Here is a 26782-nt window from a genome sequence, read left to right as displayed (position 1 = left end):
GTACAAACTTGCAGTTATCAGCTGATCTAACGTATAGCATGGTGACCACAGTTAATCATAAAGCATTGTACACTTGAAATTTACTAAGAGAGTAGATCTTACTCTCAACACATGATACACACACTACACACACACACACACACACACACACACACACACTTTTTTTTTTTTTTCAGACAGAGTCTTGCTCTGTCACCCAGGCTGGAGTGCAGTGGCATGATCTCGGCTCACTACAACCTCTGCCTCTGGGTTCAAGCAATTCTGCCTCAGCCTCCTGAGTAGCTGGGATTACAGATGGCTGCCACCACACCCGGCTAAATTTTGTATTTTTATTAGAGACAGGGTTTTACCATGTTGGCCAGGCTGGTCTTGAACTCCTGACTTCAGGTGATCCGCCTGCCTCAGCTGGTCTCGAGCTCCGACCTCGACACATATGGTTTTTTATTTTTTTTTTTGAGATGGAGTTTCGCTCTTGTTGCCCAGGCTGGAGTGCAATGGTGTGATCTCGGCTCACCGCAACCTCCGCCTCCCAGGTTCAAGCAATTCTCCTGCCTCAGCCTCCCGAGTAGCTGGGATTACAGGCATGCACCACCACACCCAGCTAATTTTGTGTTTTTAGTAGAGACGGGGTTTCTCCATTTTGAGGCTGGTCTCCAATTCCTGACCTCAGGTGATCCGCCCACCTCGGCCTCCCAAAGTGCTGGGATTACAGGCATGAGCCACCGCGCCCAGCCAATGGTTTTTTAAAAAGGACTTCATTCCTTCGTATTGCCAAGTAGTATTCCATTGTATGGATTTATAACATTTTGTTTACCCATTCACCAACTGAATATTTGTATTGTTTCCAGTTTTTTTTTTTGCTATTGTAAATCATGCTGTTATGAACTATTTATTTATTTATTTATTATTATTATTATTTTTTTGAGACAGAGTCTCCCCCTGTTGCCCAGGCTGGAGTGCAGTGGCGCGATCTTGGCTCACTGCAACCTCTGCCTCCCGGGTTCAAGCGATTCTCCTGCCTCAGCCTCCCAAATAGCTGGGATTACAGGCATGTGCCATCATTCCTGGCTAATTTTTGTATTTTTAGTAGAGACGGGGTTTCACCATGTTAGCCAGGATGGTCTCGATCTCCTGAACTTGTGATCTGCCGTCCTTGGCCTCCCAAAGTGCTGGGATTACAGGTGTGAGCCACTGCGCCCGGCAGTGCGTTAACATTTTTTTAAAAAGCCAAACAGTTTTTTCAAAGTGGCTGCATCAACTTGCATTTCCACCAGCAATGTAAAAGCGTTCCTGTTTCCTTCAGTTTTACCTGCCTTCTTTTCAGAATCATCATCCCCGCTCCACAAATCTGACACAGGTAGAAGGCAGATTTCCAAAACATAATAATCTTCATACAGCTGGGTAATCTACTCACATGAGTCACCCCACCCTGTCTCCCAATCAAAGGGTTCCAGACTTTTAATTTTTATTTATTTATGTATTTATTTATTTTTTTGAGACAGAGTCTTGCTGTGTCGCCCAGGCTGGAGTGCAGTGGCGCGATCTCGGCTCACCGCAAGCTCCACCTCCCGGTTCATGCCATTCTCCTGCCTCAGCCTCCCCAGTAGCTGGGACTACAGGCGCCCACCACCATGCCTGGCTAATTTTTTGTATTTTTAGTAGAGACGGGGTTTCACTGTGTTAGCCAGGATGGTCTTGATCTCCTGACCTCATGACCTGCCCAACTTGGCCTCCCAAAGTGCTGGGATTACAGGCGTGAGCCACTGTGCCTGGCCTTTATTTTTATTTTTTTAAATTTTATTATTTTTTGAGATGGAATCTCACTCCGTCGCTCAGGGTGGAGTGCAGTAGTGTGATCTCAGCTCACTGCAACTTCCACCTCCCAGGTTCAAGCAATTCTCCTGCCTCAGCCTCCTGAGTAGCTGGGATTACAGGCACCTGCCATCATGATTCAATATACACATTTTGGTCAATTATATACTAATTTGTGGCTAGGCACTGTGACTCATGCCTGTAATCCCAGCTCTTTGGGAGGCTGAAGTGGAAGGATTGCTTGAGCCCACGAGTTTGAGACCAGCCTGGGCAACACATCGAGAACCCATCCCTACAAATAAAAAAAAAAAAATTAGCTGGGCATGATGGCCTGTGTCTGTGGTGCCAGCTACTTGAGAGGCGAGAGGATCACTTGAGCCCAGCAGTTGGTTACAGTGAGCTATGAATGTGCCACTGTACTCCAGCCTTGGTGGCAGAGCAGAGCAAGACCCTGTCTCTAAAATAGACAGGGTATGTGTGTGTGTGTGTTTGTACTAATTTCCACGTCAATCTGCTGTCCTTCCAAAGGGCCTTCTACTTCCCATAGGACCTAGTCATTGACAATATGACATGGAATCTTACTTCCTTTTTTTTTTTTTTTTTTTGAGACGGTGTGTCACTCTGTCGCCCAGGCTGGAAGGCAGTGGCGTGATCTCGGCTCATTGCAACCTCTGCCTCCTGGGTTCAAGCAATTCTCCTGCCTCAGCCTGTAGCTGGGATTACAGGCACCCGCCATCATGCTCGGATAATTTTTGTATTTTTGTAGAGATGGGGTTTCACCATGTTGGGCAGGCTGGTCTTGAAATCCTGACCTCAGGTGATCCTCCTGCCCTGGCCTCCCAAAGTGCTGGGATTACAGGAGTCAGTCACCTCACCCGGCTGGAATCTTATAGCTTTTAAAGAAACTTTAGGGAGCCATCCAAGTCTTTTAGTTTATGTGGGAAATCTGAGGCCTGGGGTAGGGAAGTGACAATATCACCTTTATGTGCTAGTCAGGGACACAGAGGGTTAGTTCGCTTCCTGGAAGAAACTTTGCTGGAAAGAGAGGGGGTGCTGGAATGGAGGGAAAAGAGGGAAGTGTTGCAGAGAGGAAGGGGGCTGCTACGTGGTAAAATCCTGAATGCCAGAACAGGACATCATTCTGTAGGAAAGGAAGGCTTTTGGGTAGGATGTGAAATTACCCAATCAGTATTCTAGTAGGTTAATATGAGAGGGGCAAGATTTGAGTCAGGAGGCCAGCTGGGAGGCCGGTGAATAGTCTTGGTGTGAAGTAAGGAGGGAGGCCCTGGATTTGGTGGTGTTGGCAGAGAGAACAAGGGAGGGGAGGATCACCCAGCTATGCTAAATTCGTGGATAACTGGAGTCTGCGAACCTGGGAAATTGGTCTCAGTAACAGCAATAAGGAGGTTGGGATAGAAGTGCAGGTCTGCTGACCCTGTATGTGCCCTCCATGGCCCTGGGGCAAAGAGCCCACCAGCAGGGCAGAGTGCTTCTGCTCACTCACTGTTCCATTCCAAGACAGGACTGACTGCGCACAAGTGTGTGACCCTGGGCAAATGACTTGACTCTGAACCACAGTTTCCTCATCTGTAAAATGGGGGTAATAACGAGGGTTCAGGAGACTTAGCTTAGGGGATACTTTTAAGGGACTTAGACCTGAGCCTGGTACATGGCAAGCAGTCAGTTCACACCAGCCTTGGTTCCTCTCAGTCCTGTAATTTATCTCTGTCCTTGCATAAAACCTCCGTCGGGGTGTATCCAGCTAAAAGCAGTACTCCCCTCAGACACTGCTTCAAGCTGGACACTCCATGTTTGAAGTTTTATATAAGGTGAGACAGAAATTATCTTTTGGAGTTTGTGGTAACTTTTTAAAAATTAATTAATTAATTTGTTTATTTTGAGGCCGAGTCCCGCTCTGTCGCCCAGGCTGGAGTGCAGTGGCGTGATCTCAGCTTACTGCAACCTCCGTCTCCCAGGTTCAAGCAATTCTCCTGCCTCAGCCTCCCAAGTAGCTGGAATTACAGGCACATATCACCATGCCTGGCTAATTTTTTTGTATTTTTAGTAGAGACAGGGTTTCGCCATGTTGGCCAGGCTGGTCTCGAACTCCTGACCTCAGATGATCTGCCTGACTCGGCCTCCCAAAGTGCTGGGTTTACAGGTGTGAGCCACCCTGCACGGCCGTGTGGTAATGTTTTAAATGTGCTAGTTGAGTTTCTTAAAATAATTAGCATTTTAAAACAATGCCATGTCCACACAATTGTCCTAATCTTAAATCAGTCATATCTGAAAAACTATTTCGCTACAATGTCTAGTGCAGTTTTCGAGTGCCACTCATGTGGCCTTGGGGTAATCTCAGATAGTACTCTGGGATTGTCCTGGGAAAAGGAGAGCTGCAACTCCCACCTCCTCTTTGACTAGAACTGCTCCCCTTTAAACTGTCTTTTATATTGGGTTACTAAAGAAGATGAATATAATTTTAATGGAAGAAAAGCTTCCATTAAAAAAAAAACTCCTATAACAGAAACTTAATAAATATGCCAGATTGGGCCAGATGTGGTGATTTACACCTGTAATCCCAGCTACTCAGAAGGCTGAGGCAGGAGAATTGCTTGAACCTGGGAGGCGGAGGTTGCAGTGAGCTGAGATTGCGCCACTGCATTCCAACCTGGGTGACAGAGCAAGACACCGTCTCACAAAAAAAAAAAAAAAAAAGAAAGAAAAAAGAAAAAGAAAAAACAAGCTAATAATATGCCAGATTGATACTAACAATCAAATGACAGACCTTCAAAAGATGAAAATCAGTTTTGTGTAAAACATCAAACTCTTTGAATGGCTAGACAAATTTATGAAACAGTTTCTGAAGGCTAAAGAAGGGGAAGATTTCAGAAGATATAAATACCATACCTTTTCAAAAGTGAAATACTGTTATTTTGCATTTTTCTAACTGGTATTGGTACCTATACAAATATTCCAGAATTCTCTTTAGAGTTGGGAAAAATGCAAATCCAATCTTGGGATGCATTTTATGCTTACTCCTATCTGTTTAGTAAGCAAAGTATTTCACAAAAGAACCACATTCCATGAAAAGTATGTTTGTTCTGGCTTAAATACAATCATTTCCTCCGTAAAGTCTGATTCAGATAAAGCATCTTAGGAAATTCAAAAGCATTTAGTTTGTAGACAACTGAATTTCATACTACTTTCTGAATTCCATAAAAGTGCTTTCAAAATTAATTCAACCATGTTAGACTATGCTTTTAAACTCAAATATGTTATTATTTAGTGGATTTTACTGCCCAGTAGATGTCAAATTCAGTTATTTCCTGCATCTAAAAAAATTTATTTATCTTTCTTTTATTTATTTTGAGACAGTCTCACTCTGTTGCCCAGGCTGGAGTGCAGCAGTAGTGTGATCTTGGCTCACTGCAACCTCTGCCTCCTGGGTTACCCAGGCTGGAGTGCAGTAGTAGCACGATCTTGGTTCACTGCAACCTCTGCCTCCTGGGTTTAAGCAAATTTTGTCTCTCAGCTTCATGAGTAGCTGGGATTACAGGTGTACGCCACAACACCCAGCTAATTTTTTGTATTTTTGGTAGAGACAGGGTTTCACCATGTTGGCTAGTGATATGGTTTGGCTTTGTCCTCACCCAAATCTCATCTTTGATTGTAACTGTCACAATTCCCACGTGTTGTGGGAGGAACCAGGTCGGAGGTGATTGAATTATGGGGGCAGGTCTTTCTTGCACTGTTCTCATGATAATGAATGAATCTCACGAGATCTGATGGTTTTAAAAACGGGATTTTCCCTGCACAAGCTCTCTTTTTGCCTGCCATCATCCATGTAAGACGTGACTTGTCCCTCCTTGCCTTCTGCTGTGATTATGAGGCCTCTCCAGTCATCTGGAACTGTTAAGTCCATAAAACCTCTTTCCTTTGTAAATTGCCCAGTCTTGGGTATGTCTTTATCAGCAGCATAAAAATGAACTAACACAGTAAATTGGTACCAGTAGAATGGGGCACTGCTGAAAGGATACCTGAAAATGTGGAAGTGACTTTGGCACTGGGTAACAGGCAGAGGTTGGAACAGTTTGAAGGGCTCAGAAGACAGGAAAATGTAGGAAATTTTGGAACTCCCTAGAGACTTGTTGAATGGCTTTGACCAAAATGCTGATAATGATATGGACAATGAAATCCAGGCTGAGGTGGTCTCAGATGGAGATTAGGAACTTTTTGGGAATTGGCGCAAAGGTGACTCTTGTTATGTTTTAGCAAAGAGACTGGCAGCATTTTGCCCCTGCCCTAGAGATTTGTGGAACTTTGAACAAGACAGATGACTTAGGGTATCTGGCAGAAGAAATTTCTAAGCAGCAAAGCAAAGGTGACTTGGGTGCTGTTAAAGGCATTCAGTTTTAAAAGGGAAACAGAGCATAAAAGTTTGGAAAATTTGCAGCCTGACAATGGAATAGAAAAGAGAATCCTGTTTTCTGAGGACAAATTCAAGCCAGCTGCAGAAATTTGCATAAGTAACAAGGAGCCAAATGTTAATCACCAAGACAATGGGGAAAATGTCCCCAGGGCATGTCAGAGACCTTTGGGGCAGCCCCTCCCATCACAGGCCCAGAGGTTTTGAAGGAAAAAAATGGTTTCATGGGCTGGGTCCAGGGTCCCTCTGCTGTGTGCAGTCTAGGGACTTGGTGCCGTGTCCCAGCTGGGCTGCTACTTCAGAGGGTGGAAGCCCCGAGCCTCGGCAGCTTCCACATGATGTTGAGCCTGCATGTGCACGGAAGTCAAGAATTGTGGCTTGGGAACCTCCGCCTAGATTTCAGAGGATGTATGGAAATGCCTGGATGCCCAGGCAGAAGTTTGCTGCAGGGGTGGGGCCCTCATGGAGAACCTCTGCTAGGACAGTATGGAAGGAAAATGTGGGGTCAGAGCCCCCACACAGTCCCTACTGGGGCACTGCCTAGTGGAGCTGTGAGAAGAGGGCCACCATCCTTCAACCCCCAGAATGGTGGCACCATGTGCCTGGAAAAGCTGCAGACACTCAATGCCAGCCCATGAAAGCAGCCAGAAGAGGTGCTACACCCTGCAAACCCACAGGGGTGGAGCTGCCCAAGGCCATGGGAGACTACTTGCACCTGTTTGACCTGGAGTCAAAGGAGGTCATTTTGGACCTTTAAGATTTGACTGCCCCACTGGATTTCAGACTTGCATAGGCCCTGTAGCCCCTTTGTTTTGGGCAATTTCTCCCATTTGGAATGGCTGTATTTATCCAATACCCGTACCCTCATTGTATCTAGGAAGTAACTAGCTTACTTTTGATTTCACAGACTCATAAGCAGAAGGGACTTCCCTTGTATCAGATGAGACTTTGGACTGTGGGCTTTTGAGTTAATGCTGAAATCAGTTAAGACTTTGGGGGACTGTTGAGAAGGCATAATTGGTTTTGAAATGTGAGGACATGAAATTTGGGAGGGGCCAGGTGGAATGATATGGTTTGGCTGTGTCCCCACCCAAATCTTATCATGAATTGTAACTCCTAAAATTCTCAGACGTCATTGGGGGAACCCAGTGGGAGGTGACTGAATTATGGGGGTGGGTCTTTTTTTTTTTGAGACAGAGCTCTATTGCCCAGGCTGGAGTGCAGTGGCATGATCTTGGCTCACTGCAACCTCTGCCTCCCAGGTTCAAGCAATTTTCATATGTCAGCTTCCTGAGTAGCTGGGATTACAGGCTCACACCAAGGCTAATTTTTGCATTTTTAGTAGAGACAGGGTTTCACCATGTTGGCAAGGCTGGTCTTGAACTCCTGACCTCGTGATCTGCCCACCTCGGCCTCCCAAAGTGCTGAGATTACAGGCTTGAGCCACTGTGCCCGGCCAATTTTGTATTTTTAGTAGAGATGAGGTTTTGCCATGTTGGCCAAATTGGTCTTGAACTCTTGACCTCAGATGATCCACCCACCTTGGCCTCCCAAAGTGCTGAAATTACAGGTGTGAACCACTGTGCCCGGCCTTATTTCTTTTTTAATAGAGATGAGGTCTTGCCATCTTGCCCAGGCTGGTCTCAAACTCCTGGGCTCGAGTGATCCTCCTGCATAGGCCTCCATTTTAATTAGACTTTTTGTACACACACACACACACACACACACACACACACACACACACACACACTTATTTACAAAAGCTTTGGTTCTAAATGTGGGCTTCGAATATATTTTCATTTTCTAAATTATGTCAATAGGGAGGAGGAGAGTATGGAGTTAAGAATGGAGATTTTAGGACTGGGCTCTCCAGATTCTGGTCCCAGCTCAGCCATTTCCTAGTTCCATCTCTGACTTTCCATGGGTGACTTCGCTTCTCTGTGCCTACTTTTCCTTATCTGTAAGAACTGTCCTTCTCTCACTGGGCTATGAAGATTATAGGAGTTAATATAATGTAAAGCACTTAGAATAGCACCTGGTATACAGTAAATAAGTACTCAATAAATGTTAGCTATTATTAGCTATTCTTGGTTTTCCAGTGCCATCAGGGTATGCTTCAAATTTGGTTTAATTAAATAGTAAGGTTGATAAAAGGTTGCTAATGGAGACAATAGATTGGTGCTCATCACACAATTAGAATATAATTGAAGACATTCAATTTAAAGACCCTGCTGGTGTCAGTCCATAGACTCTCAGGGGTCACAGGACATTAGGGAGCATCTTGTTGATTAGAGACATTAGAGAGCATCTTGTTGAACACCTTCACTTTATGGCTGAAGACACCAACATCCAGAGGGATGAAGTCACTTGCAGTGAACCATCTAGAAAAACAGAGAGCAGCTGGAATGTGGTTACTGTTGATGGTACTTTAGGCTCTTGGAGGGCTGCAGCAAAGTATTCATTATAGGCATCAATCATCACTGCAATGCACTGATTAGCCAGTCACTGGAGCATTCTATTCCATTCAGAATGACAATAAAAGCATTTATATGTTTGGAACTGTCAATATACAATGTAAATACAAGAAAGTAAACTGACTTTGCTTTATAACCAAATGCTATTATTTACTATACTCATAGAAAATGCCTCCCAATAGGGGTGTTTTTATATGTTTCAATTTCAAATATCACTTGAAAGACATTCTTTTTTTTTTTTTTTTTTTTTTTTTTTTTTTTTTTTTTAGAGGCTTGCTCTGTCGCCCAGGCTGGAGTGCAGTGGTGCGATCTCGGCTCACTGCAACCTCTGCCTCCTGGGTTCAAGTGATTCTCCTGCCTCAGCCTCCCGAGTAGCTAGGATTACAGGTGCGCACCACCACACCTGGATAATTTCTGGATTTTTGGTAGAGACGGAGTTTCACCATGTTGCCCCGGCTGGTCTTGAACTCCTGACCTCAAGTGATCTGCCCACGTCGGCTTCCCAAAGTGCTGGGATTACAGGCATGAGCCACTGCACCTGGCTGAAAGACATTCTTTAGTCAAAACTATTATAAAAATCAGTCTGATGTCCTTGAAATGGAAAAGCCTGCACCTCTGGAACAATCCATACATCAGGAGGCATGCAGGGAGGACACTGCAGATGATCAAAGTTTTATTTAACATTATAGAACACTTAAAAATAAACAATATGATTGCATTTCTGTTGTGTAACTTTGAAAAATGTTTTCAAGCACACATAAAAGCAACAAGTTTTACCCCCAACAAGTATGCTATGCAGCCAGTCCCTAACTGCTGGGGTCAGCACTGCTCTCAACAGACAGCTGGGGTAGGAGGTAGGCTGCTGGTGTCCCTGCAGGCAGGTGGCTTTTCCTACTCGGAATGACGATGTCTTTTCTTGTTATGGTTCTCAATTGCCCTTCTAAGTGCTTCATCCTGGATAAGATCTGACTTTCTTATATCCGTGTGGCTACAGCCAATTTGAGGGCAACTGTGAGAAAGAAAGAACATCAAGTCAGTCCCCTTTACTGCCTTAAGCAGAAACTTCTTTTATACTCAAGTGTTTAAGTAAGGCATTTTACTGAAAAAGGAAAAGTGTCAAAATCAGGACCAAGCTGTGCTCATTCATTTATTCACTGAGTCCCTACCTGAGCCAGGCCCTGTCTGGGTGCTGGGGACACAAGCGATATGTGAGTAGTGCCTGCCTTATCATGAGCTAACTTTCTTTTTTTTTTCTGAGACGGAGTCTGGAGTGCAGTGGCACGATCCTGGCTCACTGCAAGCTCCGCCTCCCGGGTTCACACCATTCTCCTGCCTCAGCCTCCCGAGTAGCTGGGACTACAGGCACCCACCACCACGCCCGGCTAATTTTTGGTATTTTTAATAGAGTCAGGGTTTCACCGTGTTAGCCAGGATGGTCTCGATCTCCTGACCTCGTGATCCGCCCGCCTCGGCCTCCCAAAGTGCTGGGATTACCGGCGTGAGCCACCGCGCCCAGCCTATGAGCTATCTTTCTAATGAGGAAGACAGGCAACCACTAGGGAACCAAATAAATGCTTGCTGCAAGTTCAGGTCACCTTATGGGCTATGAGGGCAACAAAGCAGGGTCAGGGAGAGAGAGTGCTGGGGCCACAGCTTCACTGGCTGGACTCAGGGCATGCCTCACCGAACACATCTTATCTAGGGCAGGACCCAGAATGAAGCGTGGGAACAAGTCTGCATGTGGTCTGGGCTGAGGCAGTAGCAAGTGCAGTGCTGAGGACGTTCCAGCTTGGTGCCCTGGAGTGACAGCAAGCTCTATGTGGCTGCAGCGACCCAGGCAAGAGGGAGAGCAGTTGGAAGTGAGGTCAGTGCGCCAATGGGGCTTTGGAGTTTATTTAATTTAATTAATTTATTTATTTTGAGATGGAGTCTCACTCTTTCACCCAGGCTGGGGTGCAGTGGCGTGATCTCAGCTCACTGCAACTTCCGCCTCCTGGGTTCAAGCAATTCTCCTGCATCAGCCTCCTGAGTAGCTGGGATTACAGGCGCCTGCCACCATGCCTGGCTAATTTTGTGTATTTTTAGTAGAGATGGGGTTTCACCATGTTGGCCAGGCTGGTCTCGAACTCCTGACCTCAAGTGATCCACCTGCCTCGGCCTCCCAAAGTGCTGGGATTACAGGCATGAGCCACCGTGCCTGGACTTGGATTTTATTTTAAATATGAAGACAAAACACTGGAAGGTTTTGAGATGGGTGAGGAGTGTGTTTGGTTTACATCTGGAAAATGTTACTCTGGCTGCTTATGGAGAATACAAAACAGGGAGGTAAGAGAAGGGCAGGGAAAATAGCATGGGGGATCCTGCAGGGTGCAGGAGAGAGGTGAGGGCAGCTCGGCTGAGGGTGGTATGGCGATCAGCTTCAGGACATGCTTGACCATAGAACCTATAGGACTTGCCGATGGAGTGGCTGTGGAGCATAAGCGAAAGGGAAGAAGCGAGCTTCATCTGGGTAGATCAGTGACTGGTAGTGCCCTTCATCACAGTGGGAAACGATGGGGCAAAACAGGCTGCAGCACAGAACCACAGTCCTGGTTGGTATCTGTTTCCTCTGGAATGGATGCCCAGTAGCCCTCCTAGAAGAGAGACTGAGTGGGCCACTGGGACTCGGTGGAAAGGCTGCAGCTAAAGACATCAGTGAGTCACCCACAAAGGGGTGGAAACAAGCCACGGCTCTGCTTCGATGTGGTCTTCTCTGAGGGCAGTGGGCTGGATGAAACCACCTATTTCTTCTCAAAGAATCTGGTTCTCAAAGTGAACCAAATTTTGGTAGATTAGAGGCCCAATGTTTGGAGTCAAGCTAACCTAGGTCTGAATTTTCTCTCTACCACCTACTTGCTAGTTATGAGACCACAGGCAATTCACAATAACCCTCTTGAGCCTCCCTTGCCTCTGAGTTAAAATGGGGAGAGAACCCTTATTTCCCAAGGTGACAGTCAATACTGTTAATTCCCTCCCAGATCCTCTGTGCTCAATAATGTTAATTCCCTTCCAGATCCCCTGTGACTATCATGTGTTCCCTCATCATCATTCTTCCAAGAAGTTTTAAAGTTCTGGATCTATTTCTATCTTGCATATATCCCACACAGGCATGCACCCATTCATGCATTAATTGACTCTTCTAGGGATCAGCCCTATGCTAGGTTCTAAGCATGCAACTGTGAAATACAAATACATGGTTCCTGCCCACACAGAGCTCTGGCCCAGTGATCTGAGACAGCTCTCCATAAAGCACAGGATATTAAGACCAAAAACAACAAATGTGCAAACCACAGTAAAGATGCAAACCAGAAGGAAAGAAAGTTGGTCATGGGAGCTCCAATTTGTCTAGTGGTAGGAAGCCCAACAGTCCAACATGAAAGAAAGTATTTCTTGGCCCTGATCTGTGGATCAAGGAGTTTTTACATTAGAGGGGTATTAATCAATGAAATATAATATGCTTAATAACAGTATTTATTTTTAAAATATTAAAATATGGCCAGGCACGGTGGCTCACACCTGTAATTTCAGCACTTTGGGAGGCCGAGGCAGGTGGATCACATGAGGTCAGGAGTTTGAGACCAGCCTGGCCAACATGGCGAAACCCTATCTTTACTAAAAATACAAAAATTAGCCAGGCGTGGTGGCGCATGCCTGTAATCCCAGCTACTCGTGAGGCTGAGGCAGGAAAATCACTTGAATCCAGGAGGTGGGGGTTGCGGTGAGCCAAGATTGCACCATTGCACTCCAGCCTGGGCAACAGAGCAAGACTCTGTCTCAAAACAAAACAAAACAAACAAAAAAAAAGTGCCCTACATACTCAGGTACATGATGTGTTAAATCATAATTACAGAAAGGCAATTATATGAAAGAGGATCAGGGTGATTTGGCCCAGGTATGCATCATTTTGATGATTTGGCTTTGCATTAGGGCAAGGCTGGAGAAATGTTTTACACTAGTTTAAAAATCTGTATTTTTTTCCCAGCCTGTCCCCCTACGCTGTGAAGTCTCAAAGCGAATTCTCCTTCCTTTCTTCCTTCCTTCCTGCCTTCCTTCCTTCCCTCCCTCCCCGCCCTCCTCTCTTCTCCTTCCTCCTCCTCTCTTCTTCCTTCCTTCTTTCCTTCCCTCCCCCTCCTCCTTTCTCCTTCCTTCCCTCCCTCCCTCCTCCCCCTCCCTCCCTCTCTCTCTCTCTCTCTCTTTCTTTCTTTCTTTCTTTCTCTCCTCTTTCCTCTTTCTTTTTTTGACAGGGTCTCATTCTGTCACCCAGACTGGAGTGGCACTATCTCTGCTTACTGTGACCTCTGCCTCTGAGGCTCAAGCAATCCTCCCACCTCAGCCTCCTGAGTAGCTGGGCCCACAGGTGCACAATATCACGCCTGGCTAATTTTTAAAAAATTTTTGGTAGAGACAGAGTTTCACCATGTTTCCCAGGCTGGTCCTGAACTCCTGAGCTCAAGTGATCCACCTGCCTTGGCCTCCCAAAGTGCTGGGATTACAGGCATGAGCCACCGTGCCTGGTGAATTATGTCTGTAAGTATGAAAAAAAGCAGCTAAGATCATGAAGAGGATACAGACACTTTTGTGACTAGAAAAGCCAAGTATCATAACTTTGGCTTCCATGACATTGAAATGCAACTCCAAGTAGGTTGCTGGGATGACCCTCCCTTAAAACATAACCCTGAATATCTGCTTTGGACTGCCTGGCCTTGGTCTCTTCCATTCTACCCAGCAAAGGCCTTAACTTTCATAGCCAGACAGTGAATAAGCAGTGGAGAGGGAAGTGGAGAGTGAGGTGGGGAGGACTTCCTGATGACATCATGGTTTTAGTCAGTGCATGAGAGCATGCTGAGAATGTCTGATGGACTTAACCACACACTCAGCTGCAGAGCAGGCGCCCACCTTCACTTCAGTGGGATGGATCCCAGAGTGAGCCATGTCAAACAAGGTCTGAGTTCACTGAGGAGATAGACTCTGATGGTAGAGGCATGAACCAAATAGCCCTCCCAAGGGGAGCTGGATGGCCTACTGACAGAATTGCAGGCTCAAGAATGAGAAAGACCTGGGCTTAAACCCCCTGGCTGTGTCACTCTGGGTAAGTGACTAAATTCTCTGTGCCTCAGTTTTTCCCTTTAAGAACATGAAGGCAGAGGACAAGCCTGTCCAATAAGGCTGAGAAATAAGCAGGCTGATGTGTGTCAAGGACTGGGGAGTTCACTTCAGGTCCTGCCGTGCACCAGTCCCTGCCCTAGTCCACAGCTTCCGCTCTCAAGAAGCTCGTGGAGAGGAGCCAGCTGCACTGACAATGTTGGCATGACATGGGGTGCTAACGACATTTTGTCCAGCATGAATAAGGGCTCAGGGAAGACTTCCTGGAGGCGAGGTTGATGCTGGAACTGGGAAGGACCTTGTTTCTCCTTCGTCTCCAATAAACACAAGTTTTTAAAGCAGAAAGGATAAGAGAAGGCCATCATGCCACAGTGCTGAATCAAGGCATGCCTCCTCTGGAGAAACAACTGTCTCCGTAAGCATTCGGCATTAATCCCACGACATCTTGGTGAGCGAGTTCAGTGTGGCAATACCCGATCTTCAGCTGCCGCATCATCGCTGTGCAGGAGTCAGCCCTTCAGGCCTCGCAGGAGCGGCTGGGTCCCCACCTCCAGGCACTACCCGGGCAGAGCATTTCGCTGCAGCACAGGGCAAACACAAAGGTGACTGCTGAGCAAAGGGAACCGGGTCTTGGGGTCCCACAGAGCTGTGGGGAACCTTGGCCTCTGCAAATGCTCAAAAGTACATGATTCTGGGAGTTCCTGGATCTGGGTCCCAAGAATTCCAAGGTTTAGTCTACAAGCTATAGACAGAAGGTCTATAGAGACCTCTGGAAATCTGAGTGGGAGGGATTCCTGTCATACCTCAACACAGACAGTAATTCTATCTTACAACCCCTGAGTCAAATAATGTGTCACTAAGCAGCACGGGGAGTGATAACAACTCTATCAGCCTCGGTCTTAACAACCCTACAGCTATTTGTTTAGCGCTCTTCGCTCCCAAAAGAGCTTTCAACTAAGTGCTTTTGCTACTCTTCTGCCAAGAAATGTGCTGGTCCAGACCTAGAATGGAATTCCCTACCATTTCTTTGGCCCCTGAAGTGCTGTGAGATGCTGATGTTATTTCCACTTTACAGATGAGGAAACTGAGGCAGAAAGGTTGAATGGCTTGTTGGTAAGTGTTGAAACAGGAATTCCAAGCACAAAGCTGGAGTTCTGCTGTCGAATGACCCATTTCTATTCAATTTCATTTTATTCTACATGCTCTTAAATATGACTTTTAAAAATATGTTTCCTGTTCTCAAACAAAAAAGCAAAAAAGTGACTGTGGTCAGGTTAGAAATATTAATATATGAAAATCATAAGGTTGGGAGGCCAAGGTGGGCAGATCACTTGAGGCCAGGAGTTCGAGACCAGCCTGGACAACATGGTGAAACCCTGTCTCTACTAAAAATACAAAAATTAGCCAGGTGTGATGGCATGTGCCTGTAATCACAGCTACTTGGGAGGCTGAGGCACGAGAATTGCTTGAACCTGGGAGGCAGAGGTTGTACTCCAGCCTGGGAGACAGAGTGAGACTCTGTCTCAAAAAAAAAAGGAAAAGAAAAAAGAAACGAAAAAAAAAAAAAGGAAATCATAAGGCAGCTTTATTTTTAAGAGAATAAATAGGCTTATTGTTAACAGATATATTTTAGGAAATTATTCTAACTACCGTGCTTGGCTGGGGCTAAAGTCTCAACAATATTATTCTGACTCAAGCCAGTGCAGAGAGGCCTTCCCAGGGCCTGAAGCTTGCACAGTAAAATTCAGGCAGTGCCCAGAACACAATGGACCTGGAACTCCAGTCTAAAAAAACAAACATAACTAGAACAATCTAGGAGGAAGAAATGAGACAATGTGTCATGGACATTTCTAAACAAAGCGAACCCAGAAATACTCATCACTCTAATGTGCATCATGGGAAATGATACGACTTCATGCTTCATCAGAAACTTCTGGAGTTGGTTTCAAGAAGGCCCTGAGTTCTAATCTACTGCTGCCCAAATGCACCTGGCCTTCAGAACCCTGCCCACCCCGCCCACAAGTTCCCATGAGCCTCCACTCCTTATCACTCTTCCTGGCTCCTGGCTATATTTTAGACTGCTTTTTTAGGGGTCTTCTTCCGCTGATTGATCCTCTCATTGGTCAACAAAGTGTTTTTTGAGGGTTGGCACCAGGGTGCTAAGGCATCACAGTGAGCAGAACGAAGTCGGGCTCTGGCCTTGTGGAGATCACAGGCGAGGTGCGGGTCCTGCCTTGCTGGCTCTCTGCTGGTGAATGCATTTGTTCCAGAGCTGCATCTGTGACGGTAGTTGAGCGGGTTGACTCGTCTATACTGATAACCTCCCAATCCACATCGATAGTTCTGAGTCCTCCCCTGACTGCAAAACTCACACTTGCTGCACTTCCTGGACACTTCCACGGGGCTGTATTGCTGGGACCTTGCATTTAGGATGACCTGAGCTGAGTCTATCACAATCCTCCAATAAGAGTGTTCCTCTCTCATGCCTTCTCTGGAGGCTAATGAGCAAATGACAGTATTAGACACCCAGATGAGAAATGTCAGCCACCCCTCGCTGCTTCTTCCTTTCTCTTACATTCAGTCAGTCGTCAAATGTCGTTAACTGTACCTCCACAATCACTCTTGTATCTCTATACTCTAATTTTCTATAACTTAAACCACTGTAAAAGCATCCTAACTGACTTTTTTTTGCCTCATGCCTCCTTAATCCATCTCTGCATTGCTATTGGAGTAACTTCCTAAACTCCAGGTTGGCTCATCTTACTCCTTTAAAACTGTCCTCGTCTCCCATGCCTATAGAGCAATGGTGGAAAAAAACGAAGAGGATGTTGATAGTGGCTCAAGTTTGAAGATGATGATGGGATAATTTTACTGAGCCCTACTGTGTACCAGCTACTTTAAGTACTTTGCATGTATCTTATTTAAATTTCAAATATGCCAATGAGGTGATTACAACGATTGTCATTCATTTATGGATAAGGAAACTAATGAAAGCATGCCATGGCTGGGCGCGATGGCTCATGCCTGTAATCCCAACACTTTGGGAGGCCGAAGCGGGCAGATCACCTGAGCTCGGGAGTTTGAGACCAGCCTGGCCAACATGGAGAAACCCCATCTCTACTAAAAATACAAAATTAGCTGGGCGTGGTGGTGCATGCCTGTAATACCAGCTATTCAGGAGGCTGAGGCAGGAGAATCACTTGAACCTGGGAGACGGAGGTTGTGGTAAGCTGAGATCACGCCATTGCACTCCAGCCTGGGCAAAAAGAGGGAAACTCAGTCTCAAAAAAAAAAAAAAAAAAAAGAGAAAGAGCAAGAAAGCATGCCATTTAACAACCCAGAATCCTCCCTCTTTTTTTTTTTTTTTTGGAGACAGAGTATCACTCTGTGACCCAGGCTGGGTGCAGTGGCATGATCTCGGCTCACTGCAAGCTCCGCCTCCCGGGTTCATGCCATTCTCCTGCCTCAGCCACCCCAGTAGCTGGGACTGTAGGCGCCTGCCACCACGCCCGGCTAATTTTTTTTTATTTTTAGTAGAGTCGGGGTTTCACCGTGTTAGCCAGGATGGTCTCTATCTCCTGACCTCGTGATCCACCCGCCTCGGCCTCCCAAAGTGCTGGAATTACAGGTGTGAGCCACCGCGCCTGGCCGAAATCTGACATTTCAACTGTTAACTCAAAAACTCAAAACAGATCAAAATGTACTAAGAATGTCTACATTTTGCAACCATTAGGCAGCAAAGCCACTATTCTTCTAGAATACATAGGATAAGTTATTTGCCTGAATGACCATCAAGATATCTTTAGTCTCCAATATATTATCTCTAAGTCCACACCCAGATGAGGAGTGCTGGGGAATTCCAATTCTAGGTCTGGACCAGCAAATTTCTGGGCAATGGAGAAGCAAGCCACACATCAAAGGGACTGTTATCAGAAGTCAATTGAGAACTAGTCACACCTGCAATTCCATTCCTGCAACAAATCCATGATAAGAGCACAAGAAATGCCAAACGAAGTCAATGCCAGTCAGTCTGGCTAACTCAGGATTCTATGTTATTACAGGAACAGAGCATGGTCCTCCGTGGTCATGGAAGAAGGGGAAGGAAGGTGAGATATATATATGTGTGTGTGTGTATATTATATATATTTAAAGATAAATAATATATGATATACATATAAAACAATATATAACATATAATATATATTATGTCTATTTATAAAGATTCTGCAAAACTTCCAATTAAAAAAATAATTTATCATTCATGAGTTAGCCATGAATTTACCTAAACCTTTTTTTTTTTTTGAGACAGAGTCTAGCTCTGTTGCCCAGGTTGGAATGCAGTGGCACAATCTCGGCTCACTGCAACCTCTGCCTCCTGGGTTCAAGAGATTATCCTGCCTCAGCCTCCCGAGTAGCTGGGATTACAGGCACCTGCCACCAAGCCTGGCTAATTTTTGTATTTTTAGTAGAGATGGGGTTTCACCATGTTGGCCAGGCTGGTCTTGAACTCCTGACCTCAGGTGATCTGCCCACCTCGGCTTCCCAAAGTGCTAGGATTACAGGCATGAGCCACCCTGCCTGGCCTTATTCTGTTTTGAAGGTGTGGTTGAAGTTCCCTCAGCTTCTTCCTGAACAGATTACTAATTTTTCCCTCATGTATTGTTTTTCCAGAAAGCCCACTTCCATGTTTACAGTATTCGGGAGGTGAACGGAATTTAGAAGAGACATTGAAGTGCCTCTTCCTCTAGCGTGAACACGCCACCTCTGAGTAACTACCACTAGGGAAGGCTCCACTTCCTTCCCTGCGTCCACTCACTAGGCCTTTTTCTTCCGCTTTTGCCTGGACTCAATCATGCGAACAATGGCGTCCTCTTCATAGGTGTGGCCACACACTTTATTTTTCACTGGCTTCTTCATTTCCTCCTGTAATCAAGGAGATGTTGGGCTTTCAGGAATGATAATGATCAACTTCCAGTAGCTGTTTCGTCCTAGTCCTGAGCTTTCTATGTTTAACTTCCCATTCTCATGGCTTTACATAATTACTAGGCTTTAGATAAGGAAATGCAGGGAATCCAGTGGCAGTACTGTCACTTGGCCTGTAGGCCATGACTTTAGTCCCGGATCCTTCAGGGCATGATTGACTGACAGCTCTCTCCAGCCCAAGAACCTCCCGTGGATACTCTTCAACCCCCAGCACTTTTCTTTACTCCCTCCTTAACTCCCTAAGTGAAATCAAACCAGAAAGCAAACAGGAACCTTTCTGCCTCTGTGAAGTGAATCGTGTTTCTTTCAGGGGAAGTAGGAGGAAGCGGTACCTTTGTAATGGGGCAGGTGAAGTTGGTCTGACTTTGGGTCACAATTATATCTTCATCCACTCCTTCTGTTCCGTCAGCTTCTCTGTCAGCTTGAAGACCACCTAGAGGAAAATGGAGAGTTGATAAGCCTCTCTGGTCTAACGTCAAAGAAAAGGAAGGAATGGAAGGAAGGGAGGTGAAGAGTTTCTGGGGGAGCATTTGCTGTTGGCCCCCATGTAAGGACTGGATGCATAGAAACTCTTCTGCTTTTCAGAGAACACTACGGGGTACCTCATTCTGACTATTTTTGATAAGGAAACTGAGGCTCAGAGCAGTTAAAAAGAATCTTTTTTAAAGTTATAGAGAAAGTGACCAAGGGTGTGGCTTCAGAGTCAGAGAACCGACCTGGTGATCTCTTTCTTGTCCAGTGGTGAGACGCTGGGCTAGCAAGGTGCCCTTTTTTAAAGCCTCTGCTTTACAGCCTTGTGGCAAAGATTAAAAGAGATGAAGAATGTGGTATGCTTTGCACAGCTCATGGTACAAAGCAATAATCAATAAACAGTCATTACAATTAGGTAGTGCAGGGCTTCTCAAACTTTTTAGTTATAGGTATGAACTCTTTTAAGCTTTTTCTATGTGGGTTATATTTATCAATATTTAACATATTAGACATTAAGATTAAGGAATTTAAAATTCATTAAAAAATAACAATAAGGCCGGTTGCGGTGGCTCACGCCTTTAATCCCAGCACTTTGGGAGGCTGAGGTGGGCGGATCACGAGGTCAAGAGATCGAGACCATCCTGGCCAACATGGTGAAACCCCATCTCTACCAAAACTACAAAAATTAGCTGGGCATGGTGGCATGTGCCTGTAGTCCCAGCTATTTGGGAGGCTAGGGCAGGAGAATCGCTTGAACCCAGAAGTTGGAGGTTGCAGTGGGCCAAGATCCTGCCATTTCACTCCAGTCTGGTGACAGAGCGAGACTCTGTCTCAAAAAAAAAAAAAAAAAAAAACCAAAAAATTAAAAGTAACAGTAATAATCCCACTACGTGTTACCATAAACATTTTAAAAGTTAAAATTATATTTCCAGAACACCCCCCCCCATACACACAGACATACATAATGAGAAGAATGGCATTGTTTTCCATTTTTATAAATATCTTGAATGTCTGGCTTCATAGCAGCCAGTTGGATTTGGATATCTGCGTATGCATTCAATCTGTCACAATATCACATATCCTGTAGTCTCTGGGAAAATTCACTCATGAAAAGAATGAGAGTGAAACAGGCAGATGAGATCATACTATTATTATAAAGACAGTTTTGACCTTATGGACACTCTGAAAGACCCTTGGAGCACCCTAGAGATCCCTGGCCTGCACTTTGAGAACTGCTGAGTGATAGTGACAGGACTGGCTTTGAACAGAGCATGAGCTGCTTCTGAAACTGATGTTCTTTGAGTTACATCCCATTGGCCCCCAACTGAAAAACCAAACCAAACCAAAAACAGATGATAGACAACATTTGAATGGGATGATGGGAGTATCTCACATGAAAGCCATTCTCTCTGAAGAAAAGATACTTGTAATTTTGCACAGAAGTTAAAGATCAATAGCTTTTTTTTTTTTTTTTTTTTTTTGAGATGGAGTCTCGCTCTGTCACCCAGGCTGGAGTGCAATGGCGCGATCTTGGCTCACTGCAACCTCCGCCTCCCAGGTTCAAGTGATTCTCCTGCCTCAGCCTCCTGAGTAGCTGGGAGTATAGGTGCACGACACCATGCCTGGCTAATTTTTGTATTTTTAGTAGAGATGGGGTTTCACCATATTGGCCAGGCTGGTCTTGAACTCCTGACCTCAGGTGATCTGCCCGCCTTGGCCTCCCAGAGTGCTGGGATTACAGGCATGAGCCACGGGGCCCAGCCAAAAGATCAGTAGCTTTCTAAACATGTTGATGGTGTAGTCCTTTCTCCTTCCTTCTCCTTTCCCTTTCCCTTCTCTACTCTTTTCTCCCTTCCCTTCCTTCTTTAATTTTGGCAAAATAATACAGACATAAAAATGGCTTTCCTCAATGTGTGAGAGGAAGCCCTTGTTTCTGGTTCAGATGGTGTGGCATACCTTTCGGTTCCATAGAACTGATGACTGTGGGCCATCACCTAGGCCAGATGAGGTGTTTGTTTGCAAAGGCACTACAGGTTGAGTATCCCTTATCCGAAATGCTTGGGACCAGAAGTGTTTCGGATTTCGGACTTTGAAATATTTGCATAAGCATGATGAAATATCTTGGGGGATGGGACCCAAGACTAAACATGAATTTCATTTATGTTTCATATAAAGCTTACACACATAGCCTGAAGCTAATTTTATGCAGCATTTTTAACACTCATGTGTACTTGTTGCATGAGGCCAGATGTGGAATTTTCTGCTTGTGGCGTCATGTAGGTGCTCAAAAAGTTTTGGATTTTGGAGCATTGTGGGTTTTGGATTTTGGGATTAGGGATGCTCAAGCTGTACTGAGGGGCAGGGAAAGGGCTGCAGAGCTCTTGTTCAAGGTAACCTGGTGAATTAATTGCAACACAGGGATTCTGCCTCCAATTACTTTGTTTTTCTTAGAGAGTCACCTTCTTGGAGTAGACTGGTATATTTGTATGCCAGCTTGCTGTCCCCTAAACCAGCTTTTATTCTTTGAAGAAGGCAGTGAAGATCTCAGGGCTTGGGAATAACCAGTCAGAGCATTTTTAACCACTGGGCATTAAGGTGCAGTGCCTCGGGGCTTCCAGCTTTTCAGAGAGCTAAACAAACGTCTGAGACCTTAAAAACCATTGGTTGGCTTCAAAACAGAATAACAATAGTACTGAAATTACTAAATGTTAAAGGTCTATGCAAATGTGAAGTTAACTTCATTAATTGTTGATCCGGTAATCGAAAATACATAATTTGGAAGTAATATGTAGGGCTGGATTTATTTCTTCATAAACTTCATAAAAATTTCCCAGTATGGTAAGATAATTGCTGAAACTAATAGTCAATTACAAATTAAATCAGTTACTGGTAGCCAACCTATTTCCAAAGCAAAATTATACAAATATTTTTTCAAAATTTTGACAGCAAGGTTGGGTGCGGTGGCTCACGCCTGTAATCCCAGCACTTTGGGAGGCTGAGGTGGGCAGATCACCTGAGGTCAGGAGTTCGAGACCAGCCTAACCAACATGGTGAAACCCCTTCTCTACTAAAAATACAAAAATTAGCTGGGCGTGGTGGTGGGCGCCTATAACCTGAGCTACTCAGGAAGCTGAGGCAGGAGAATTGCTTGAACCTGGGAGGTGGAGATTGCAGTGAGCAGAGATCATGCCATTGCACTCCAGCCTGAGTGACAGAGCAAGACTCCGTCTCAAAAAAAAACAACAAATTGACAGCAATAAAATTATATATATATATATTTTTTATTTTTTAGTTTTTGAGACGGAGTCTTGCCCTTGTCGCCCAGGCTGGAGTGCAATGGCACGATCTTGGCTCATTGCAACCTCTGCCTCCCGGGTTCAAGCAATTCTCCTGCCTCAGCCTCCCAAATAGCTGGGACTACAGGCGTCCACCACCAGGCCCAGCTAATTTTTGTATTTTTAGTGGAGACGTGGTTTCGCCATGTTGGCCACGCTGGTCTCGAACTCCTGACCTTGTGATCCGCCTGCCTCAGCCTCCCAAAGTGCTGGGATTACAGGCGTGAGCCACTGCACCCGTCCTAAAACGATATTTAATAGGGCAGGTACCATATTATAGTATGTTTGCTGTGGGGTGGGGTCTCTGGAAATTATATTGCTCATGGCTATGATGGGTTTTCATGCTTCTCAGGGCCTGTCTTTGGTATTCATAGTGCAAGAGTTAGACTCCTAAGAGAGTCCCTTTATCAATCCACTGACTCTTCATCATGGCTCGGGAAAGTTGGACAGGTAAGGAGAAAAGCCAAGGAGAAGGCTAGGAGCCGTCTTTCCCTTGGATTTACTTTTCAAAGCCTCCTCCTATGCTGCTGCCTCCCATTTCTGATCGTGTGTTTAAGAGTAAAAATAAAAGTAGCTCTTTCTTAATTTTGTACACCATTTATTCTGAACTGATGCTGGTTTCTGACTGTATACGTTGTGCCAGAGAATTCACCAGAAAATCTGCTGGATGAATAACAGAGTTCAGCTGATGTGAAAGACTGTGGGTTTGTTTGCTATTTCCTATTTTTAAATTTCAAAAGGTAGAGGAAGTAAGAAAGCACAACTCAAATGCAATGCCTACCACTAGGGAAGGCTGAGTGGGGAACTTCAAAATTGTAGGTGGCTACCAGCATCAGTGATCACGAAATAAAAAGGTAACAAAAGTGAGACTGGGGAAGAATGTCACGAGTGAGTAAGAGACCACAGACCAAGAGTCTAAAAAGAGAAAGACTCTCAATAGCTAAACTTCCCTAGAGACAGAACATTTCCTCACTCTCAATCTATATTTATAGAAATTGACATTAGCGTTGGGATTCTCCAGTGTGCTAACAAAAGGTCACATCTGGCAATAAATATCACTTATACTGATTTAGATGACCCAAAGACAAAACTTTGTGATAAGTCTGGTAAAAGGAAGATGGGAGAGAAAATATTGATCATCTACTAGAATCACAGAAGTTTTAAAGTTGAGGTTATCTATCTATCCTGAGTCTCACATTTACCTGAGACAATTGAGATACAAAGAAAGTGTAGGTTTTGTCCAAAGTGATGCAGGAATTTAATAAATCAATGTGTTGTTCTATTTTCTCTGACTGGTTCATTTGAATATTAAAATCTGTGTGTTGGTTCTGGGAGCTCCTCTGCTCCCAAATTTTTTTTTTTTTTTTTTGAGATGGATTTTCACTCTTGTCGCCCAGGCTAGAGTGCAATGGCGTGATCTCGGCTCACTGCAACCTCCGCCTCCCGGGTTCAAGCGATTCTCCTGCCTCAGCCTCCCGAGTAGCTGGGATTACAGGCATGCACCACCACCTCGGCTAATTTTGTATTTTTAGTAGAGACGGGGTTTCTCCATGTTGGTCAGGCTGGTCGCGAACTGACCTCAGGTGATCTGCCCACCTCGGCCTCCCAAAGTGCTGGGATTACAGGCGTGAGCCACCACGCCCAGCCCCAAATTGTTATTTCATTGATAATAATACCTCAAATTTACTGAATGTTATATAGCAGCTACAGTGCTAAGCACGTCATATACATTATTTCATTTACTCCTAACAAAATACCCATGAAGAATAACTATATTGTTATTCCTATTGTGTAGCAAGAAAATTTAAGCCCCACTATGTATATATATTTTTGAAATGGAGTCTTGCTCTGTTGCCCAGGCTAGAGTTGCAGCAGCACAATCTCTGCTCACTGCAACCTCTGCCTCCTGGGTTCAAATGATTCTCGTGCCTCAGTCTCCCAAGTAGCTGGGATTACAGGCACCCACCATCATGCCTGGTTAATTTTGTGTATTTTTAGTAGAGATGGGGGTTTCACCATGTTGGCCAGGCTGGTATCGAACTCCTGACCTCAAGTGATCTGCCTGTCTTGGCCTCCCAAAGTGCTGAGATTACAGGTGTGAGCCACCATGCCCGGCCAACCCCACAATATTTTTAAGGCAAATGTAGAAAATATCTACATTTGCTTTATAATAAAGCAACAATTGGATTAAATCAGTTTAATCTTTAGTAAAGAGGTTACAAAATTTTCCTAACTATAAGTAGAAAAACAAGCAAACTAGTCATATTATTTTCTATATACATAGACGATGTTGTTAGAAGCATATGCCGGCTGTCCAACTTGTGACCAATGGACTGATCTCAGACCTCTACTTGACCTCCAGATGCCCCTGCCCAGGGTGCCCCAGAACTGTGCTGAAGCAGGAAGCCTGCACAAGAACTAACATTTACAGCGCACCCATGAGGGATGGAGCAAGGTAGAGTTAGGTAACTCGAATATGTTTTTTTTTTTTTATGTCACAAAATGTACACCAAAAGGAAGGAGAAACCCTGGATATGTTTGAAGTAGTATTTCCAAAGGTCTACAAATACAGTCCAGCAATGTAAAATTGGATGGGAGGTGTCATGAGGGCATTGATTGGACCCCAAGATGTAAGTTCCCAATTTTTGTGGCTTGTCAGTTATGACTCAGGGAAGAGCCAAGCAGCTCTGCCTTTGGTTCTCCTCTTCTCAGTCAGCATCCACCGAGTTGCTCAAAGCCAAAGCCTTTGGAATCATTCTTGGTTATTCCCTTTTCTTCATTCCTCACATCCAATCCACTAGTAGGTTCTGCTGACTCTGGTTCTACACCATATTCCATATCCAGCCCCTTCTCTCATTCTCTACTTCATGCCTTGGTCCAAACCACTACTGCCGCCTGCTCAGCCCTCTGCAGTTGCTTCCTAACTAGTGTCCCTCACGAAGGGCCACAACCTCCCATGTCTGCCTCTTGCAGTGGCCTAGACAGCCCCATGTGACTCTGTCCCTGACAACCTAATATGGTTTGGCTGTGTCCCCACCCAAATCTCATCTTGAATTCCCACATATTGTGGGAAGGACCCAATGAGAGGCAACTGAATCATGGGGGCAGATCTTTCCCATGCTGTTCTTGTGATAGTCAATAAGTCTCACAAGATCTGATGGTTTTAAAAAGGGGAGTTTCCCTGCACAAGCTCTCTCTCTCTTTGCCTGCCAGCATCCACGTAAGATGTGACTTGCTCTTCCTTGTCTTCTGCCATGATTGTGAGGCCTCCCCAGCCATGTGGAACGTTAAGTCCATTAAACCTCTTTTTCTTGCCAGTCTCAGGTATGTCTTTATCAACAGCATGAAAATGGATTAATACGCAACCTCTCTGCTCAGTTGTCCTGTCTCCCACTGTGCTCAAGGCACACTGGCCTTTTCTGTTTCTGGAACATGCCAAGCTCCTCCTGTCTTTGGGCCTTAACACTAACCTGTCTGGAATGCTCTTCCTCCTGCTCTGTGCCTGTCCTACTCCTTCTTGTCATTTTAAAATGTCAGTTTAAATGTCATCTCCTTGGCAAGGCCTTCTCTGATGTCCCAAGCTAAAGAAGCCACACAGACTTTCTCTATCACATCACTCTTGTTCTCCACACAGCACATGTCCATAAGTGCTATTTTTCTGTCTGTCTTTCTTCTCCACTCCCCCTCCCTCGTTCTCTTCCAGGAAAGCACGGCCTTCATTCTCTTGCTCACGGATGTTTCCCAGAGTCTAAAATAGTCCCTGGCATAGGGTAGTAGGTGTTCAATAAACATCTGACAAGCAAAGTGCCTCATCCAACAAGGCAGGAGTGGGCATATTTTTCACAAGATTACACTTAACATATTTAGCAGACGTGGCAACACAAACACATACACACATCCTCACACAATGATGATTTTATAGGTTTTAGCCAAATGACAGAGAGGACTTCACTCTCGCTCGGGGTGCAGTCCTGGACCCTGAATTACATGTCAAAGGCAGGAAGTAAATATAAGCTTGAAAATTACAGTAGGCTGTGTGGTAATTACAAAGGAGAATCCAGACATGGTCTTGTGGTCATAAAATACATTTGGTACTGGCCACACACAGCCCTAGCATTAGTCACTTGTCTGTCTTCAGG

At 45.0% G+C, this 26782-nt stretch overlaps 1 protein-coding gene across 14 annotated transcripts in view; it reads right to left on the bottom strand.

Annotated features, from left to right (window-relative positions):
• NSMCE2 (NSE2 SUMO ligase component of SMC5/6 complex) overlaps positions 9369-26782 on the bottom strand; it is a 275261-nt gene continuing 257847 nt past the window's right edge. For 12 of the 14 annotated variants that reach the window (NR_146191.2, XM_017013331.2, XM_047421702.1 and 9 more), the window contains 3 exons: positions 19170-19270; positions 18671-18777; positions 9369-9721 (listed from right to left, as the gene is read on the bottom strand). Coding sequence is in view for 13 of the 14 variants with exons in the window: in XM_017013331.2 (XP_016868820.1) it covers positions 9604-9721; positions 18671-18777; positions 19170-19270 (326 nt within the window). In the remaining variant the exon portion in view is untranslated. Of the gene's footprint in view, positions 9722-12934; positions 14433-18670; positions 18778-19169; positions 19271-26782 lie in introns of those variants that run through there. The other 2 variants (XM_047421704.1, XM_017013332.3) reach the window with 2 other exon arrangements.

Source organism: Homo sapiens, chromosome 8 (genome assembly GCF_000001405.40).
Source record: "Homo sapiens chromosome 8, GRCh38.p14 Primary Assembly".
NCBI lineage: Eukaryota > Metazoa > Chordata > Mammalia > Primates > Hominidae > Homo > Homo sapiens.
The sequence above is the reverse complement of the archived record's forward strand: the minus strand, read 5'-3'. Positions and strand labels throughout refer to the sequence as shown.